At 41.8% G+C, this 18467-nt stretch overlaps 1 protein-coding gene across 6 annotated transcripts in view; it reads right to left on the bottom strand.

The window, feature by feature from the left end:
- The window catches only part of PIWIL2 (piwi like RNA-mediated gene silencing 2), an 82253-nt gene that overhangs the window by 19695 nt on the left and 44091 nt on the right, over window positions 1–18467 (bottom strand). For 2 of the 6 annotated variants that reach the window (XM_005273551.5, XM_047421925.1), the window contains exon 21: window positions 15861–16028. The exons of the other annotated variants lie outside the window; for them this stretch is intronic. In XM_005273551.5, coding sequence (XP_005273608.1) covers window positions 16017–16028 — 12 coding nt within the window. In that variant the 3' untranslated portion in view covers window positions 15861–16016. Of the gene's footprint in view, window positions 1–15860; window positions 16029–18467 lie in introns of those variants that run through there. 6 annotated transcript variants of the gene reach the window in all.

Raw genomic sequence — 18467 nt, 5'->3', positions numbered from 1 at the left:
ATCCACCTGCTTCAGCCTCCCAAAGTGCTAGGATTACAGGTGCGAGTCACTGCGCCTGGCCTAGATCTTCAATTTCTTTAACAATGCTCTGTCATTTCCAGTATGTCTAGTATTATTATTTATTTATTATTAATTTTTTTTTTGAGACAGAGTTTTGCTCTTATTGCCCAGGCTGGAGTGCAATGGCACAATCTCAGCTTACTGCAACCTCCGCCTCCCAGGTACAAGCTATTCTCCTGTCTCATCTCCCAAGTACCTCGGATTACAGGCATGCACCACCACGCCCAGCTATTTTTTTTTTTTAATTTAGTAGAGACAGGGTTTCACCATGTTAGTCAGGCTGGTCCAAACTCCTGACCTCAGGTGATCCACCCGCCTCAGCCTCCCAAAGTGCTGGGATTACAGGTGTGTGCCACTGTGCCTGGCCTAGTATCTTTTTTGTTAAAAATTTTTCCTACATAGCTTATTTTTATGCAATCATAAATTGTTTTCTGAATTCCATTTTTGGATTGATCATTCTAGTGTACAGAAATACAACTGATTATTATATACTGATCTTGTATCTTCAACCTTGCTGCCCTCATTTATTAGCTCTAATTGTGTGTGTGTGTGTACTCTTCAGGATTTTCTAATGTAAGTTCTTTTCATTGTTCTACTTCTTTTCCAGTCTGGATCCTTCTGCAGTTTTCTTGAGATGGCTTTGTTTGGCTTTGGTATCAGAGTAATACTGACTTCATAGTATAAGGAGGGAAGTGTTCCTCCTATTTTGGGGGAAGTTTGTAAAAACAAAGCAAAACAAAACTGGTTTCTTATTTAAATATAAGGTCTAATTCTGAAATTTCAGTATTTTCTGTATTTCCAGGGATGTGTCCATTTAGGGCATCTAATTTGTTGGTACATAGTTGTTCACATTATTCTCTTATAATCCCTGTATTTCTGTTAGGTCAGTGGCAATGTTACCGCTCTCATTCCTGATCTTAGTTATCAGATTCTTCTATTTTTCATAAATGGTCTAAACTAAAGGTTGTCAACTTTATCTCCTCAAAGAACCAACTTTTGGCTTCATTGATTCTATTGTTTTTCTAGTCTCCATTTCATTTATTTATGCTCTAATATCTACTAATATTATTTTTAGAGACAGGGTCTCACTATGTTACCCAAGCAGGTCTTGAACTCCTGGGCTCAAGTGATCTCCCACTGCAGCCTCCGGAGTACCTGTAACTACAAGCATGAGCCACTGCACCCAGCTCTCTAATGTCTATTATTTCCTTCCTTCTCCTTGTTTTGGGTTTAGTCTGTTGTTCTTTTCTGGTTCCTTAAGGTGGAAGCTGGTTTGTTTTTAGATTCTTCTTATTTTAAAATACGTTGTTTATAATAAATTTTCCTCTAAGTACTGTTTTACTTACATCCATAAATTTTGATATGTTGTATTTTTGTTTTCAGTCATCTCCCAAGTATTTCCTAATTTCCTTTTAATTTCTTCTTTGAGCCACTGGTTATTTTGGAGCCAGTCTTGTTTAATTTCCATGTATTTGTGAATTTCCCAAATTTCCTTTATTTCAAATTTCATTCTATTGTGGGTTGAGAATGTATTTTGAAAGATTAAAGTCATTTTTAAATGTATTGAGCCTTGTTTTATAGCCTATCATGGAGAAGAGTGCCACGTACATTAAGAAGAATGTGTATGTGGTTGCTGGGTGGAGTGTTTTATAGATGTCTGTTAGGTATAGTCAGACTACAGTGTTGTGCAAATCTTCCATTTCCTTGTTGATCTTACATCTAATTATTATATCTAAGACTGAAAATAAAGTTTTGAAGTCTCAAACTATTGCTGAATTGCCTATTTCTCCCTTTAATTATATTAGTTTTTGTTTCCTCTGTTTTTGGGTCTCTACTGTTAGGTGCACATATATTGTAATTGTTATGTCTTTCTCATGGATTGACTCTTTTGCTATTGTAATATGTCACTCCTTGTCTCTACTTACAAGTGTTATCTAAAAGTCTGTTTTGTCTGAGGCCGGGCACAGTGGCTCACGCCTGTAATCCCACCACTTTGGGAGGCAGAGGCAGGTGGATCACTTGAAGCCAGAAGTTCCAGACTAGCCTGGCCAACATGGTGAAACACTGCCTCTACTAAAAATACAACAACAACAACAAATTTAGCTGGGTGTGGTAGTGTACACCTGTAATCCCAGCTATTCGGGAGGCCGAGGCAGCAGAATTACTTGAACCCAGGAGGCAGACGCTGCAGTGAGCCGAGATCATGCCACTGCACTCCAGCCTGAGCAACAGAGCAAGACTGCGTCTCAAAAAAAAAAAAAAAAAAAAAAGTCTATTTTGTCTGATATTAATATAGCTATTTCATTTCTTTTGGTTACAGTATAGCTATACTAGGCAGAAAGATTGCTTGAGACCAGGAGCTTGAGGCTGCAGTGAGCTATGTATGATCACACCACTGCACTCTAGCATGAGCAACAGAGATCCTGTCTCAAGAAAAAATAAATAGGACTACAGACATGACCACCACGTCTACCACATTTTTCTTTGAATTTGTACTGTCAACCACTATCTTTTGAGTGTTGAGTTCAGTTACACTTAATGTAATTATTAATAAGGTGATCTTTACATCTACCTTTTTGCTATTTGTTCTTCTATCCCTTACATCTTTGTCATTCTTCTATTTTTCCATTACTCTGTATTTTGTATTAAATAGCTATTTTCCAGTTACTGTTATAATTCTCTTTTTTACTATATATCTTGGAGTTATTTTCTTAGTGGTCCTTTTGGGGATTAAAATTGACTTTTTTTTTTTTTTTTTGAGACAAGAGTCTCACTCTGTCACCCAGGCTAGAGTGCAGTGGCACAATGTTGGCTCGCTGCAACCTCCATCTCCTGGGTTCAAGTGATTTCCCTGCCTCAGCCTCCTGAGTAGCTGGGATTACAGGTGCCCGCCACCACGCCCACCTAATTTTTGAATTTTTAGCAGAGATGAGGTTTCACTATGTTGGCCAGGCTGGTCTCGAACTCCTGACCTCATGATCTGCCTGCCTTGGCCTCCCAAAGTGCTGGGATTACAGGTGTGAGCCACCGCACCTGGCTAAAATTAACATCTTAATTTACAATAATCTTGCCAGGCACAGTAGCTTATACCTGTAATCCCAGTGCTTTGGGAGGCTGAGGTAAGAGAATCACCTAAGCCCAGGAGTTGGAGACAGTTGGGCTTGACCCAACTTGACCCAACAGCCTGACCAACATGGAGAAACCCCGTCTCTACTAAAAATACATTAGTATTGACAAAGTCATGTACCTATCAAAATTACCAAATTTTGTATTTTCTTTTCTTTTTTTTTTTTTGAGACGGACTCTCACTGTCACCCAGGCTGGAGTGCAGTGGCAAGATCTTGGCTCACTGCAACCTCCGCCTCCTAGGTTCAAGCGATTCTCCTGCCTCAGTCTCCCGAGTAGCTGGGGCTATAGGCGCCCGCCATGATGCCCAGCTAATTTTTGTATTTTTAGTAGAGATGGGATTTCACTATAGGTGTGAGCCACCTGGCCCCAAATTTTGTATATAATCACCCCAAAAAGAACCTTGTACCCAGGGCCAGGCGTGGTGTCTCACGCCTGTAATTCCAGCACTTTGGGAGGCCAAGGAAGGTGGATCACCTAAGGTCAGGAGTTCGAGACTAGCCTGGCCAACATGATGAAACCCCATCTATACTAAAAATACAAAAAATTACCCAGGTGTGGTGGTGGGTGCCTGTAATCCAAGCTACTCAGGAGGCTGAGGCACAAGAATTGCTTGAACCCACAAGGCGGAGGTTGCAGTGAGCTGAGATCCTACCACTGCACTCCATCCAGCCTGGGCAACGAGTGAAAAAACTGTCTCCAAAAAAAAAAAAACACAAAAAAACTCTGTACCCATTAGTAGTTCCTCCTCATTCTTGCCCTTCCTCCTTATTCTCTGGAAACCACTAATCATCTGCCTCTGTGAATCTGAGCTATAATTCATATGCTACAATTCACCGAATTAAGGTTTTTTATTATATTCCTACATGTGTAACCACCACCATAGTCAATTTTATAACATTTTCATCACCTCACAAAGAAACCTCATACTTTTGAGTAATTATCACCCTATCCATACTCCAGTTCCCTCCTCGACCCCAGCCCCAGGCAACCACTAACCTTCTGGTTTCTATAGATGTTCGTGTTCTGAACATTTCTTATAAATGTTCAGAAACATTTTTTTTGTTTGTTTTTTGAGACAGAGTCTCGCTCTTGTTGCCCAGGCTGGAGTTGAATGGCGTGATATTGGCTCACCGCAACCTCTGCCTCCCGGGTTCAAGCGATTCTCCTGCCTCAGCCTCCCGACTAGCTAGGATTACAGGCATGTGCCACCATGCCTGGCTAATTTTGTTACTTTTAGTAGAGATGGGGTTTCTCCATGTTGGTCAGGCTGGTCTCGAACTCCTGACCTCAGGTGATCCGCCCTCCTCAGCCTCCCAAAGTGCTGGGATTACAGGCGTGAGCCACTGCGCCCAGCCCAGAAACATTTCTTCCATGTGATCTTTTGTGACTGGCTTCATTCACACAGCATGTTTTCAAGACTTAGGTATTGCTTGCTGTTGATCCTGTTTATTTACCTGTATTCTTCTTACATTAAATTTATTTTGTTTTTTCCTCTCATATCTTGATAGTTATACACTCTTTTATTCTTCCTTTCGTAGTTACCCTAGAGAGTACAACATCTATAGCATATCAAAGTGTAACGTAAATGAGTACTTTTACCTTTTCCTCAACAATTCAAAGACCTATGAATATCAGGACATCATTTACTTCTTCCTGATATATGCACTGTTGTCATAAATTTCAAATTATATGCACAGACAAATATATAGCCACATGACATTTTTTTCTTGTTTTAGATGGAATAGATTTAAATTTACCTTCATAATGGTCACTTATATTGTTACTTATTCCTTTAACCATTTCTAAACTTCTATCTGGGATCATGTTCCTTCTAGCTGAATAATGCTTTTTATATTTTCCTTCAGTGTAAGTCAGCTGGTGACAGTCTATTTTTTATTTGCCATGCAATGTCTTTTTTCACCTTCACTAGTGAAAGTTATTTTCAGTGGCTATGAGACTGAAGCTATGCTGGCAGTTACTTTCTTTTAGTGCTTTGTAGCTATTATATTATTATCTTGTGGCTTACGCTGTTTATTTTGATGTTAGCTATTAGTCCATATTGATCCTTTGAAGGAACCTCTTTTTAATTTTTCCTTGACTGTTCTTACTATATATATATTTATCTTTACCCTCAACAGTGTTATAATGTGCCTAGATGTGCTTTTCTTTTTATAAATCCTGCTTGAGATGTGTTGGGCTTTCTGAATCTATGGTTTGGGGTCTTCTAACAGTTTTGGAACATTCCTCACCATCGTCTTTTCAGATGTTTCTGCCTTCTTTAACCTCCTTCTGAGCCACTTCTTATGTACATATTATATTTTAACCTCCTATCTATTGGCCTGTTACAGTTTGATTATTTTTATTTTTGTTTTTGAGAGACAGAGTCTCACTGTGTAAGCCCAGGCTGGAGTGCAGTGGCACAATCTCAGCTCACTATAACCTCTGCCTGCCTCCCAGGTTCAAGCTGTTCTCGTGACTCAGCCTCCTGAGAAGCTGGGATTACAGGGGCGCAGCACCACACCTGGCTAATTTTTGTATTTTTAGTAGAGATGGGGTTTCACCATGTTGGCCAGTCTTGAACACCTGACTTCATAAGTGATCCACCTGCCTCAGCCTCCCAAAATGCTGCGATTACAGGCTAGTTTGATTATTTTCTGCTCACCTATCTTTCAGTTGACTCTTTCCAGCCTCAGCTATATCTAAGCTACTGTTATCCATTGTTAGGGGATGAATTATGCCCTCCGCAACATTCATATGTTGAAGTCCTAACCCCCAGTACCTCAGAATGTGACTGTTTTTTACACATAAGATCTTAAAAGAGGTACTTAAGGTTAAATGAGGTCATGGGGGTGGGCCCTAATCCAATATGACTGATGTCCTCATAAGAAGAGGAGATGAGGACACAGACACAAGGAAGACCAAGGCCCCCAAAAGAAACCGACTCTGCCAATTCTTTGAGCTTGGATTTCTGACTTCCGAAACTGTGAGGAAATAAATTTCTGTTGTGTAAGCCAGTTGCTGGTACTTTGTTATGTCATTTGTAGCAAACTAATACACCCATGTACTGAGTTTAATTTCAGTTACTGTAGTTTTCATTTCTAAAAATTCCAATTTTTTTCATGCTTTCTAATTCTTTGTTAAAATTCTTAATGTTGTATTTCATCTCTTTGAAGAATTTAGGTAAAAGTCATTTTTATTTTTATTTGCAACAGGGTCTCGCTCTGTTGAAAGAGGGAGTGCAGTAATGCGATCATGGCTCACTGCAACCTTGAACTCCTCGGGCTTTAGAAATTAAAGAAAATAAAATAGAAAACAAAAAAAAATAGAAATTAAAAATTTTAATTTCTTTTTTGTAGAGACGAGATCTCACTATGTTGAGCAGGCTGGTTGCAGACTCCTGGCCTCAAGCTATCCTCCTACCTTGGCTAAAAGTTACTTTTAAATGTGTCTGATCAATTATCTGAATCCTCTGTAGGTCAGAACTTTTTATTTTTTATTTTTATTTTTTTGAGACAGAGTCTCGCTCTGTAGCTTAGGCTGGACTGCATTGGCACAATCTTGGCTCACTGCAACCTCCACCTCCTGGGTTCAAGCAATTCTCCTCCCTCAGCCTCCTTAGTAGCTGGGATTACAGGAGTCCACCACCACACCAGGCTAATTTTTTCTATTTTTGGTAGAGACGGGGTTTCACCATGTTGGCCAGGCTGGTCTCGAACTCCTGACTTCAGGGGATCCACCCGCCTCAGCCTCCCAAAGTGCTGGGATTACAGGCGTGAGCCACCTCGTGCCCAGCTTAAATTTCCAGTTTTCAACAAAGAATTATGATGCTTGCCAAGAAATAGAAAAGTAGGACACGTATGCATGGGGAAAAAAAGTCAACAGAGACTGTCCTTGAGGAAGCCCAGACGTGGTCCTATAGACAGTCTTTATATCAACTATTTTTATTTATTTATTTATTTATTTATTTATTTATTTATTTATTTATTTTGAGACAGAGTCTCACTCTGTTGCCCAGGCTGGAGTGCAGTGGCATGATCTCGGCTCACTGCAACCTCCGCCTCCCAGGTTCAAGCAGTTCTCCTGCTTCAGCCTCCTGAGTAGCTGGGATTACAGGTGCCCGCCACTACGCCCAGCTAATGTGTGTATTTTTAGTAGAGATGGGGTTTCTCCATGTTGGTCAGGCTGGTCTCGAACCCCTGACCTCGTGATCCACCCGCCTCGGCCTCCCAAAGTACTGGGATTATAGGCGTGAGCCACCACGCCCGGCTATATCAACTATTTTAAATATTGTTCAAAGAACTAAAGGAAACCATGTCTTAAGACCTTAACGAAAGTATGAGAATGTGTCTCACCAAATAAAGACTATCAATAAAGGCACAGAAATTACAAGAAAGAACCAAATAGAAATTCAGGAGTGAGAAACTATGGTAACTGCAATGAAAAATTTACTAGAGGTGCTTAACAGCAGATTTGAGCAAGCAGAAGAAATAATTAGGAAACCAGAAACGATGTCAGTTGAGATTATATCCAGTATAAGAAAAAGAAATAAGAAAGAAAAATGAAGACAGCCTCTGAAACCTGGGAGATACCAACAAACACACCATCATATAAATATTTGCTGTCTCAAAAGGAGAAGAACAAGAGGAAGGGGCAAAAAGAATATCTGAGTAAATAATTAACACAAAAATTTCCCAAATTTGAGGAAAAACATTAACGGACACATCCCCAAAGCCTAAGGGACACCAAGCAGGATAAACTCAAAGCTGACCTGCAACATCAGCTATCCCCTGGGTCTCCAGCCTATTGGTTCATCCTGCAGATTTTGAACTTGCCAGCCTCCATAACTGTGTAAGCCTATTTGTTAAAATAAATCTATACACATGCTCACACCCTATCAGTCCAGTTTCTCTGGGGAATGCTAATACAGAATTAGCACCAAGAAAGTGGGAGAGAATAGAACTATACAGGAACAAAGTTTCTATATACTATTGCTACAGTCTGAATGTGTGTCCCTGCCAAATCTCATGTTGACATGTAATTCCCAATACTGGAGGTGGGGCATGGTGGGAGGTGTTTCGATTATAGGAGCAGATCCCTCAGGAATGGCTTGGGCCATCCCCTGGTGATAAGTGAGCTCTTGCTTTGAGTTTACACAAAGATTTGGTCACTTAAAATGTGTACCGCCTCTTCTTCTCTCTCACTTTCTCTCTCTCTCATTTACTCCTGCTTTCACCATGTGAAGTGCCTGCTTCTGCTTCACCTTCCACCATGACTGTAAGCTTCCTGAGGCCTCCCTAGCAGCTGAGTGGATGCCAGCATTATGCTTCGTGTAAAGCCTGCAGAACCATGAGCCAATTAAACCTCTTTTCTTTATAAATTATCCAGTCTCAGGTATCTTGTTACAGCAATGCAAGAATGGCCTGACACAACTATTAAAATTAATTTGGTATTAATCTGAACAAGACTGTTAAAAGTTAATATGCAGAAAAATCATCTGATAAAATCCAACACACTTTCATTATAAAAATACTCAGCAAATTAGGAGCAGAAACTTTCTTAACATGATAAAGGAAATTTATGAAAAACTCAGAGCTAACATCATATACAATGGTGAAAAACTGAAACCTTTGCCTCTACTATCAGGAAAAAGACAAAGATGCCTGATTTTAGCACTGCTATTCAATACCATAATAGAAATCCTAGCCATAACAATTAAGGAAGAAAAGGAAATAAACTAAGCAAATTAAGAAAGAAAAGGAAATAAAAAGAATTCAAACTGAAAAGAAAGAAGACTCCATTCCCATAAGCAAATGACATTATTCTGTATCTAGAAAATCCCAAAGAATTAAAAAAAAAAAAAAAAAAACGACTAGAGCTCATAACCACATTCAGAAAAGTTACAGGGTACATGATCAACACATAAAAACAGTTGTGTTTCTATATGCCAGCAATGAACAACCCAAAAATGAAATTAAAACTATTCCATTTACAATAGCATCCAAAAGAATAAAATAGCTAGGAATAAACTTCAACCAAACAGGTAAAGACTTATACATGGAAACTACAAAACACTGCTGAAAGAAATTTAAAAAGATCTAAATAAATAGAAAGACATCCTGTGTCCATATGCTGGAAGACAGTATTGTTAAGATGACAATACTCTTCAAAGTAATCTAGATATTCAATACAATCCCTATGAAAGTTTCAATGGCCTTTTTTTGCAGAAACAAAAAAACCTTCTCTCAAATTCATATACAATTCCAAGGGGGCACTGAATAGCAAAAACAATACTGAAAAAGAAAAATAAAGTTGGAAGACTCACACTCTCCAATTTCAAAACTTATTACAAAGCAACAATAATCAAAACAGTGTGTTACTGGCATAAAATGAGATGCACAGACCAATGGAATAGAATTAGCAGTCCAGAAATAAACCCAAACATCCATGACAATTGATTTTCAAGTAGGGTGCCAAGATTTCTCAATGGGGAATTCTCTCAACGAATGGTGCTATGACAAGTAGATATCCAGATGCGAAAGAATAAAACTGGACCCTTACCTCACTTTGTATAACTCAAATCAGTGACTTATATGTAAGAGTTAAAAAGTATAACATTGTTAGAAAAAAAAAACAGGGGACAAGCTTTTATGACCTTGGATTTGGCAATGAATTCTTAGATTGAGCACCAAAACCATAAGGAACAAAAGATACAATAGATAAATTGCATGTTATCAAAATTTAAAATTTTCGTGCAGCAGAGACCATTATCAAGCAAGTGAAAATCTAAAGAATGGGGGGAGATATTTGTAAATCATACATCAGATAAGAGTATAGTTTCCAGAATATTTTAAAAACTCCTACGACTCAACAACAAAACGACAAATAGCCCAATTTAAATGGGCAAAGGATTTGAATGACACAAACGAGCAACAAGCACATGAAGGATGTTCAACATCACTGGTCATTAAGAAACGCAAGTCAAAACCACAATGAGATACTTCACAACAGTGATGATTCAAGCCGGGCATGGTGATTCATGCCTGTAATCCCAGCACTTTGGGAGGCCAAGGTAGGCGGATCACCTGAGGTCGGGAGCTTGAGACCAGCCTGACCAACATGGAGAAACCCCGTCTCTACTAAAAATACAAAATTAGCTGGGCGTGGTGGTGCATGCCTGTAATCCCAGCTACTCAGGAGGCTGACGCAGGAGAATCGCTTCAACCCGGGAGGTGGAGGTTGTGGTGAGTCAAGATCGCGCCATTGCACTCCAGCCTGGGCAACAAGAGTGAAACTCCGTCTCAAAAAAAAAAAAAAACGAAACAAAAAACCCCACAAAAAACAGTGATGATTTAAAAAAACTGAAAAGGCCAGGCGTGGTGCCTCACTTTGGGAGGCTGAGCTGGGCGGATCACCTGAGGTCAGGAGTTCGAGACCAGCCTGGCCAACATGGTGAAACCCCATCTCTACTAAAAACAAAACAAAACAAAAATTAGCTGGGTGTGGTGGCGTGCACCTGGAATCCCCAGCTACTCAGGACGCTGAGACAGGACAATCTCTTGAACTTAGGAGGTGGAGGCTGCAGTAAGCCAAGATCGTGTCACTGCACGCCAGCCTGGGTGAGAGAGCAAGACTCTGTCTCAAAAAAAAAAAAAAAAAAAAAGTAAAAAAACAGAAAATAGCAATTGTTGGCAATTGTTTGGAGAAACTGAAAACTTCTGCATTACTGGTAGGAATGTAAAATGATGCTTGGCCACTGGGCAAAACAGCTTGGTGGTTCCTCTAAACGTTAAACACAGAACTACTATATGACCCTGTAATTTCACTCCTAGGTATATATCAAAAAGAACTGAAAATGGGAACTTAAACAAATACTTGTTCAGGAATGTTTACAGCAGCATTATTCACAATAGTCAAAATGTGAGAACAGCCCAAATGTTTATCAACAAGTGAAAGGATCAACAAATCGTGGAATAAATACAATGGAATATTATACAGCCACAAAAAGGAAAAAAGTATTAATATATGCTACAACACAGATAAACCTTGAAAACATGTTCAGTGAAGTAAGCTAAACACAAAAGGTCACACATTTTAAAATTACTCTACAATATAGGCAAAATAGACAAATCAGTAGAGACAAAAAGCAAATTAGATGTTACCAGAAATTAGGAGAAGGTGTGAATAAGGAATGATTATTTAATGGGCATGGGGTGTTTTTATGCGGTGATGAAAATGTTTTTAAACTAGAGATCCTCTTACCTCAGCCCCCCAAGTACCTGGGACTACAGGCATGTACCACCACGCCCAGCTAATTTTTCTATTTTTTATAGAGATGGGGGTTTCACCATGTTGCCCAGGCTGGTCTCATATTCCTGAGCTCAAGCAATCCACCTGCCTTGGCCTCCCAAAGTGCTGGGATTACAGACACGAGCCACTAAACCTCACCTATTTCACCTCAATTTTTTTTTTTTTTAAAGCAAGCAAGCAGGACATGTTGATGGCCAACAGTAAAACCTTCCAGGCTGGGAAGGCGAGGGGAACTCTGGGAGTGGATATCCCAGTTTCCTTGCTTGAGGAAGTCCATCTGGCTCCATGAAATGAGTAGACACTGGAGAACTACAGCAGTGCAGAGATAGGCTGAATCTATTCTACATGTTCCTCTTGAACCCTGTGAAGCACTATCAACAACTGTTCTTTCTGAACAAGAGAGTGCGGATGGCTATGGAGCAGATTCCCCAGCAGTAAGGCTCTGCACTTGGCTGGCAAGTTGGACTTACTCTGGTAGTCCCAGGAGGCTGTGACAGTGCCTGACATGAGCAGACACTTACTTACTACAGACTGGATTTTGCATACCTGCTGGTAGATGCAAATGCCCAAAATACTATGAAAGGACTAAAACAAGGCTGGGCGCGATGGGTCACACCTGTAATCCCAGCACTTTGGGAGGCTGAGGCAGGGAGATCACTTGAGGTCAGGAGTCTGAGACCAGGTTGGTCAACATGGTGAAATCCCATCTCTACTAAAAATACAAAAATTAGCTGGGTGTGGTGGCGCACGCTTGTAATCCCAGCTACTTGGCAGGCTGAGACAGGAGAATCACTTGAACCTGGGAGGTGGAGGTTGCAGTGAATGGAGATCACGTCTCTGCACTCCAGCCTGGGTGACAGAATGAGACTGTCTCAAAAAAAAAAAAAAAAAAAAAAGACTAAATCAAAAGATAATGCATCATTTTAGACCATGGAGTCCCATTTCTTCAAACCAAAGAACATACTTTCATCCTCACAGTAATGGTTTGATAGAGAATTAGAATGGGCATCTGAAACATCTGTTGTCTAAAGTGGAAGAAAGGAAAACCTGAAGGGCTGGCTTACACACTTTCAGGAGTGTGTGCTCACACTCAACAGGGCCAGAGCCTAGCAAACATCTCCACTAGGTAGATTTCTCCCCTTTTTCTGCTGAATCGAAGGAAGTGGAGTGGGCAGGATGCTATTGTGACTTTATAATTCTTCCCTGGGGGCAGGATGTGGTACAACTATACTTTTTTCTTTCTTTCCCACATGACCTCAACAGTCTTTTTTTCCTACCTGATGTAGTATTCCTACACTGTAGGTGCCAGAAGCTGGGATGACTTCTGTATTAGTCTGCTACGGCTGTCATACAAAACAAGCTGGCTTAAACAACAGAAACTTATTGTCTCACAGTTCTGGAGGCTAGAAGTTCAAAATCAAGGTGTTTACAGACCTTCTGAGGGTTGTAAAGAAAAAGATCTGTTCATGCCTCTCTCCTAGCTTCTGGGATTCTCAGGTGTCTCTTGGCTTACAGATAGGTGTTCTCCGTGTCTTCAGATTATTTTCCGTCTATGTGTGTCTGCCTCTGTGTCTAAATTTCCTCTCTTCATAAAAACATAGTCATATTGAAGCAGGGCCCATTCTAATGACCTCATTTTAATTTAATCATATGCAAAGACTTTATTTCCAAACAAGGTTACATTCACAGGTACTGGGGATTGGGACTTCATCTTCTTGGGAGCACAAACTCATAACAAGCTCTAAGCAAGAACTATACTTTTAAACCTTCATGTTAGAGTTCCTAAGGACCTGATGGGGGTGAACTGTACCTTCATTCCATCTGGCAAAACTGGGGTTCACAGGGAATGCAGTTATGTTGCCTAGTAGTAGAGAAAACCCACTAGTTCTGTACCTGTGTAACACTGCTCTATATGAATGGGAGTAGACTGAGTGGGAGACGTTTGCTAGGCTAGTATTGCTGCCGGCAGTCTAGATCAGCACAGTGGCCAAACTTAATGTCCCTTTCAAAAGTGGAAAGGTGGGGGTATAAATGGAGAGAAGGAAGAATGATATCTGAGGATTAGGGAAAGAATAAATGGTTATACAGTGAGCAAAATCCAATATTCCTTTTTTTTGAGACAAAGTCTTGCTTTGTCGCCCAGACTGGAGCGCAGTGGCGTGATCTTGGCACACTACAACCTTCACCTCCCAGGTTCAAGTGATTCTCCTGCCTCAGCCTCCCAAGTAGCTGAGATTACAGGTGCCCACCACCACGCCCAGCTAATTTTTGTATTTTTAGTAAAGACAGGGTTTCATCATGTTGGTCAGGCTGGTCTTGAACTCCTAACCTCAAGCCATCCACCCACCTCAGACTCCCAAAGTGCTGGGATTATAGGCATGAGCCACCAAGCCCAGCCCAAAATCCAATATTCTACTGGTGCCTTGGGAGAGGCTTAGAGCAAGATGTGATATTGTTTGTTAGCTCAACTAAATGGGATGCCTAAAGGGGTAAAGCCATGTTACTGAGAGGACTCCTGCTTTTGAAAACTGACAATGTAGAATGGAAGCCTGCAAACCTAAGTGGCACATATCTGGGAGACACTTTAATCATGCAGTATGATGATAATCTGGACTAATTATTTATGACTGAGTAGGACTCTAGTAATGTGCCAGTATCTTTGACTCTTACATTTCAGGTTATATCTACTATTGTACTATGAGATGAAATAACACTAATATTGTTGGGAAGATTCAACTAACTCATTGTAAACAAGTCTTATGATGATGCTGATATTAATAATCAATTGTGTTGGGAAATTAAGTTAAAGACACTCCAAGATGTAACACTGATTTAAAAAAAATGACTGGGCTGGGCACTGTGGCTCACGCCTATAATCCCAGCACTTTGGGAAGCTGAAGTGGGTGGATCACGAGGTCAAGAGATCAAGACTGGCTGGGCGCGGTAGCTCATGCCTATAATCCCAGCACTTTGGGAGGCTGAGGCCGGCGGATCACGAGGTCAGGAGTTCGAGACCAGCCTGGCCAACATGGTGATACCCCGTCTCTACTAAAAATACAAAAATTAGCCAGGCATGGTGGCACACGCCTATAGTCCCAGCTACTCGGGAAGCTGAGGCAGAAGAATTGCTTGAACCCGGGAGGCGGAGGTTGCAGTGAGCCGAGAATGTGCCACTGCACTCCAGCCTGGGCGACAGAGCAAGACTCTGTCTCAAAAAAAAAAAAAAAAAAAAAAGATCAAGACTATCCTAGCCCTAGCCCACACAGTGAAACCCCGTCTCTACTGAAAATACAAAAATTAGCTGGGTGTGGTGGTGTGTGCCTGTGGTCCCAGCTACTCGGAAGGCTGAGGCAGAAGTGCTTGAACCGGGGAGGCGGAAGTTGCAGTGAGCCGAGATCATACCACTGCACTCCAGCCTGGCAACAGAGAGAGACTCTGCCTCAAACAACAACAACAACAACTGGCCTGGGGAAGGTGTCTGGCTCTTGAGATATGAGAGTAATCACAACCTGAGATAATTCTAAGAAAACGGTATTCAGCTGGGCACAGTGGCTCACGTCTGTAATCCCGGCACTTTGGGAGGCCAAGGCAGGCGGATCACTTAAGGTCAGGAGTTCGAGACAAGCCTGGCCAACACAGTGAAATCCCGTGTCTACTAAAAATACAAAACTGAGCTGGGTGTGGTGGCATGTGCCTGTAAAGGACAGGACAAAAAAGGACAGGACAAGGACAGGACAAGGAAAGGAAAGGACAGGACAGGACAAGATGGGATGGGACGGGACAGGACGGGACGGGACAGGACAGGGTATTCAGCTGGGCTCAGTGGCTCACAGCTATAATCCCAGCACTCTGGGACGCTGAGTAGGCGGATAGCTTGAGGCCAGGAGTTTGAGATCAGCCTCAGTTTGAGACCAGCCTGAGCAATATAGTGACCCTCTGTCTCTACAAAAAATACAAAAATTAGCTGGGTGTGGTGGTATGTGCCTGCAGTCCCAGCTACTTGGGAGGCTGAGGTGGGAGGATCCCTTGAGCCCAGGAGGTTGAGGCTGCAGTGAACCGAGACTGTGACTCTACACTCCAGCCCAGGCAACAGAGCAACCCTGTCTCAAAAAAAAAGGTGGGGGGGAGGGGCATGTATTCATCAAGGAAAAGCCTAGTTACAGAAAAAGGAGAAGAGCAAAATCAACTATTCAAGGAAAAGGATAAGAATATTTGGAAACATTTATGTAACACAGCTAGCAAGGCAAGACGTTGACAATGAGGGAAAACTGGATGAAGGATGTATGGGAACTCTATCCTCTAACCTATTTTGCAACTTTTATTCCAAAATAAAAAGTTTATTTACAAAAAAAAAAACCAAAACAGTATTTGGAAGCATTTTATTATTGCATGCGAGTCCAGAGGACAAGTGAGAGATTTAGAATGGAGAAAATGGGCTTTGGACTAGCGAGCCGTGATGCAAAATGGGGCTGAAAATGTGTAAGGCGGCAACTGTTCGGAGGTGTTGGAACTTCCGGTGGTTACTGCCATTCCTAGGGGAAGATATTAATAAAAATGGGGAGTCCAGAGGTAGTCAGAATCTTAGAACCCCAAAGCAAATTTGTTGAGGCTGCTGAGTCAGGATAAGCTCTGGGAGAGGCATGATCAAAATCGTTTATTTTTTATTTTATTTGTTTTAGAGGCAGGCTCTGTCAACCGGGCTGACATGATCATAGTTCACTGGAGCACTGGACTCCTAGGCTTAAGGGATCCTCCCACCTCAGCCTCCTGAAGAAGTGGGACTACAGGTGCATGCCACCAAGCCTGGCTTATTTTTTCAATTTTTTTGTAGAGATGAGGTCTTCATTTTGCAAAACAGTTTAAATACAAAGATTCCTTCCACTAGGTGCAGAACAACTGGGGAAATGGCAAAAGCTGGCATAGGACTAAGCCAATAATGAGGACCTGAAAGAAATGAAACCTTTTGGCCAGGCGCAGTGGCTCATGCCCGTAATCCCAGCACTTTGGGAAGCTGAGGTGGGAGGATCGCTTGAGCCCAGGAGTTCCAGACCAGCCTGGGCAAAATAGCAACACCTCATTTCTACTAAAAATTTTTAACAATTAGCCAGGCTTGGTGGCATATGCCTGTAGTCCCTGCTACTCTGGAGGATGAGGCAGAGCAAGAACCTGTCTCAAAAAAAAAAAAATTCTTTTGATTCAGAGAACATTTATATTCAGATGAGCCAGTTTTATTCTAGATTTAAAAACAAATTTATTTTTTCTTTGATCTGGTTCTACAGAATTTAATAAATACTACTTAAGTTCATAGTTCAGATAAAGAAACAGAGACCAAAACAAACTGTTAATTGACTTAGAATAGAATTGTGATACTAGAAATTCAACGTAAATCACCAGGAGTGTCAGCTTAGTAGTGTAAGAGATGGAAAAGGAATCAAGACAGTCCCTGTGCTTGCAGCAGACTGCACTTTTACAAAATAGCCACAGTGGCTAGGCACGGTGGCTCACGCCTATAATCCCAGCACTTTGAGAGGCTGAGGGGGGTGGATCACCTGAGGTCAGGAGTTTGAGACCAGCCTGGCCAACGTGGCAAAACCCCATCTCTACTAAAAATGCAAAAAAATTAGCCAGGCGTGGTGGCGGGCACCTGTAATCCCAGCTACATGGGAGGCTGAGGCAGGAGAATTGCTTGAACCCGGGAGGCGGAGGCTGCAGTGAGCCCAGATTGTGCCATTGCACTTCAGCCTGGGCAATAAGAGTGAAATTCCGTCTCAAAAAAAGAAGAAAAGAAAATGGCCACAGCAGGCCAGACATGGTGGCTCACACCTATAATCTCAGCACTTTGAGAGGCTGAGGCGGGCGGATCACTTGAGATTAAGAGTTCGAGACCAGCCCAGTCTGGCCAACATGGCAAAACCCCGTCTCTACTAAAAATAAAAAAAAAAATTACCTGGGTCTTGTGGCACATGCAGGTAATCCCAGCTACTCGGGAGGCTGAGGCAGTTGAATTGCTTGAATCCGGGAAGCAGACAGAGGTTGTGGTAAGCTGAGATTGCGCCACTGTACTCCAGCCTGGGTTACAGAGTGAGACTCCGTCTCAAAAAAAAAAAAAAAAAAAAAAGCCGGGCGCAGCAGCTCACACCTGTAATCCTAGCACTTTGGGAGGCTGAGAAGCGTGGATCATGAGGTCAGGAGTTCAAGACCAGCCTGGCCAAGACGCCGAAACCCTGTCTCTACTAAAAATACAAAAATTAGCCAGGTGTGGTGTCACATGCCTATAATCCCAGCTATTCAGGAGGCTGAGGCAGGAGAATCGCTTGAGCCTGGGAGGCAGAGGTTGCAGTGAGCCGAGATTGTGCCACTGCACTCCAGCCTGGGCAACCAGAGTGAGACCCTGTCTCAAAAAAAGAAAATAGCCACAGCAATATCTCTGGTGCCACATGTTCTTTCAGACCCTTGCCACCCTTGGATTAGAAGGTGGAATCAACTGCCCTCCCCTCAAAGCTGGGTGGGACTTTGTGACTCCTTGGACAATTAGAATGCAGCAGAAGTGATACTGCATTACTTCCACAGTTAAGGCATAAAATGCAGCATGACTTCCACCAGCACTCTGTCTTGTGGAACATTCAGGCTTTGAATCCAGCCAGCATGCAAGGAGGAGGCCCAAAGAGCCCATGTGAAAAGACCATACAACAAGGCCCACATGGAGAAATGGAGCCCTCGGCTGTGCCTTGTCCAGTTCCTGATTGTGAACATCAAACTTGCTCATTTCATGCCACTAAGTTTCAGGGTAATTTGCTACATAGCCATCCACAACCAGTGTTCAAGTAATTTACAACCCAGTGGGATGCATAAATAAGGATACAACCCAGTGGGATGGATAAATAACAAATATAAGGCAGCTTAAGAATGGAGCAGTGAGGGAAGAAGGGAAAAGTCTTCACAGATAGGTATTAGAAGACAGATCAAACTTC

This window comes from Homo sapiens, chromosome 8 (genome assembly GCF_000001405.40).
Source record: "Homo sapiens chromosome 8, GRCh38.p14 Primary Assembly".
NCBI classification, from domain to species: domain Eukaryota; kingdom Metazoa; phylum Chordata; class Mammalia; order Primates; family Hominidae; genus Homo; species Homo sapiens.
The sequence above is the reverse complement of the archived record's forward strand: the minus strand, read 5'-3'. Positions and strand labels throughout refer to the sequence as shown.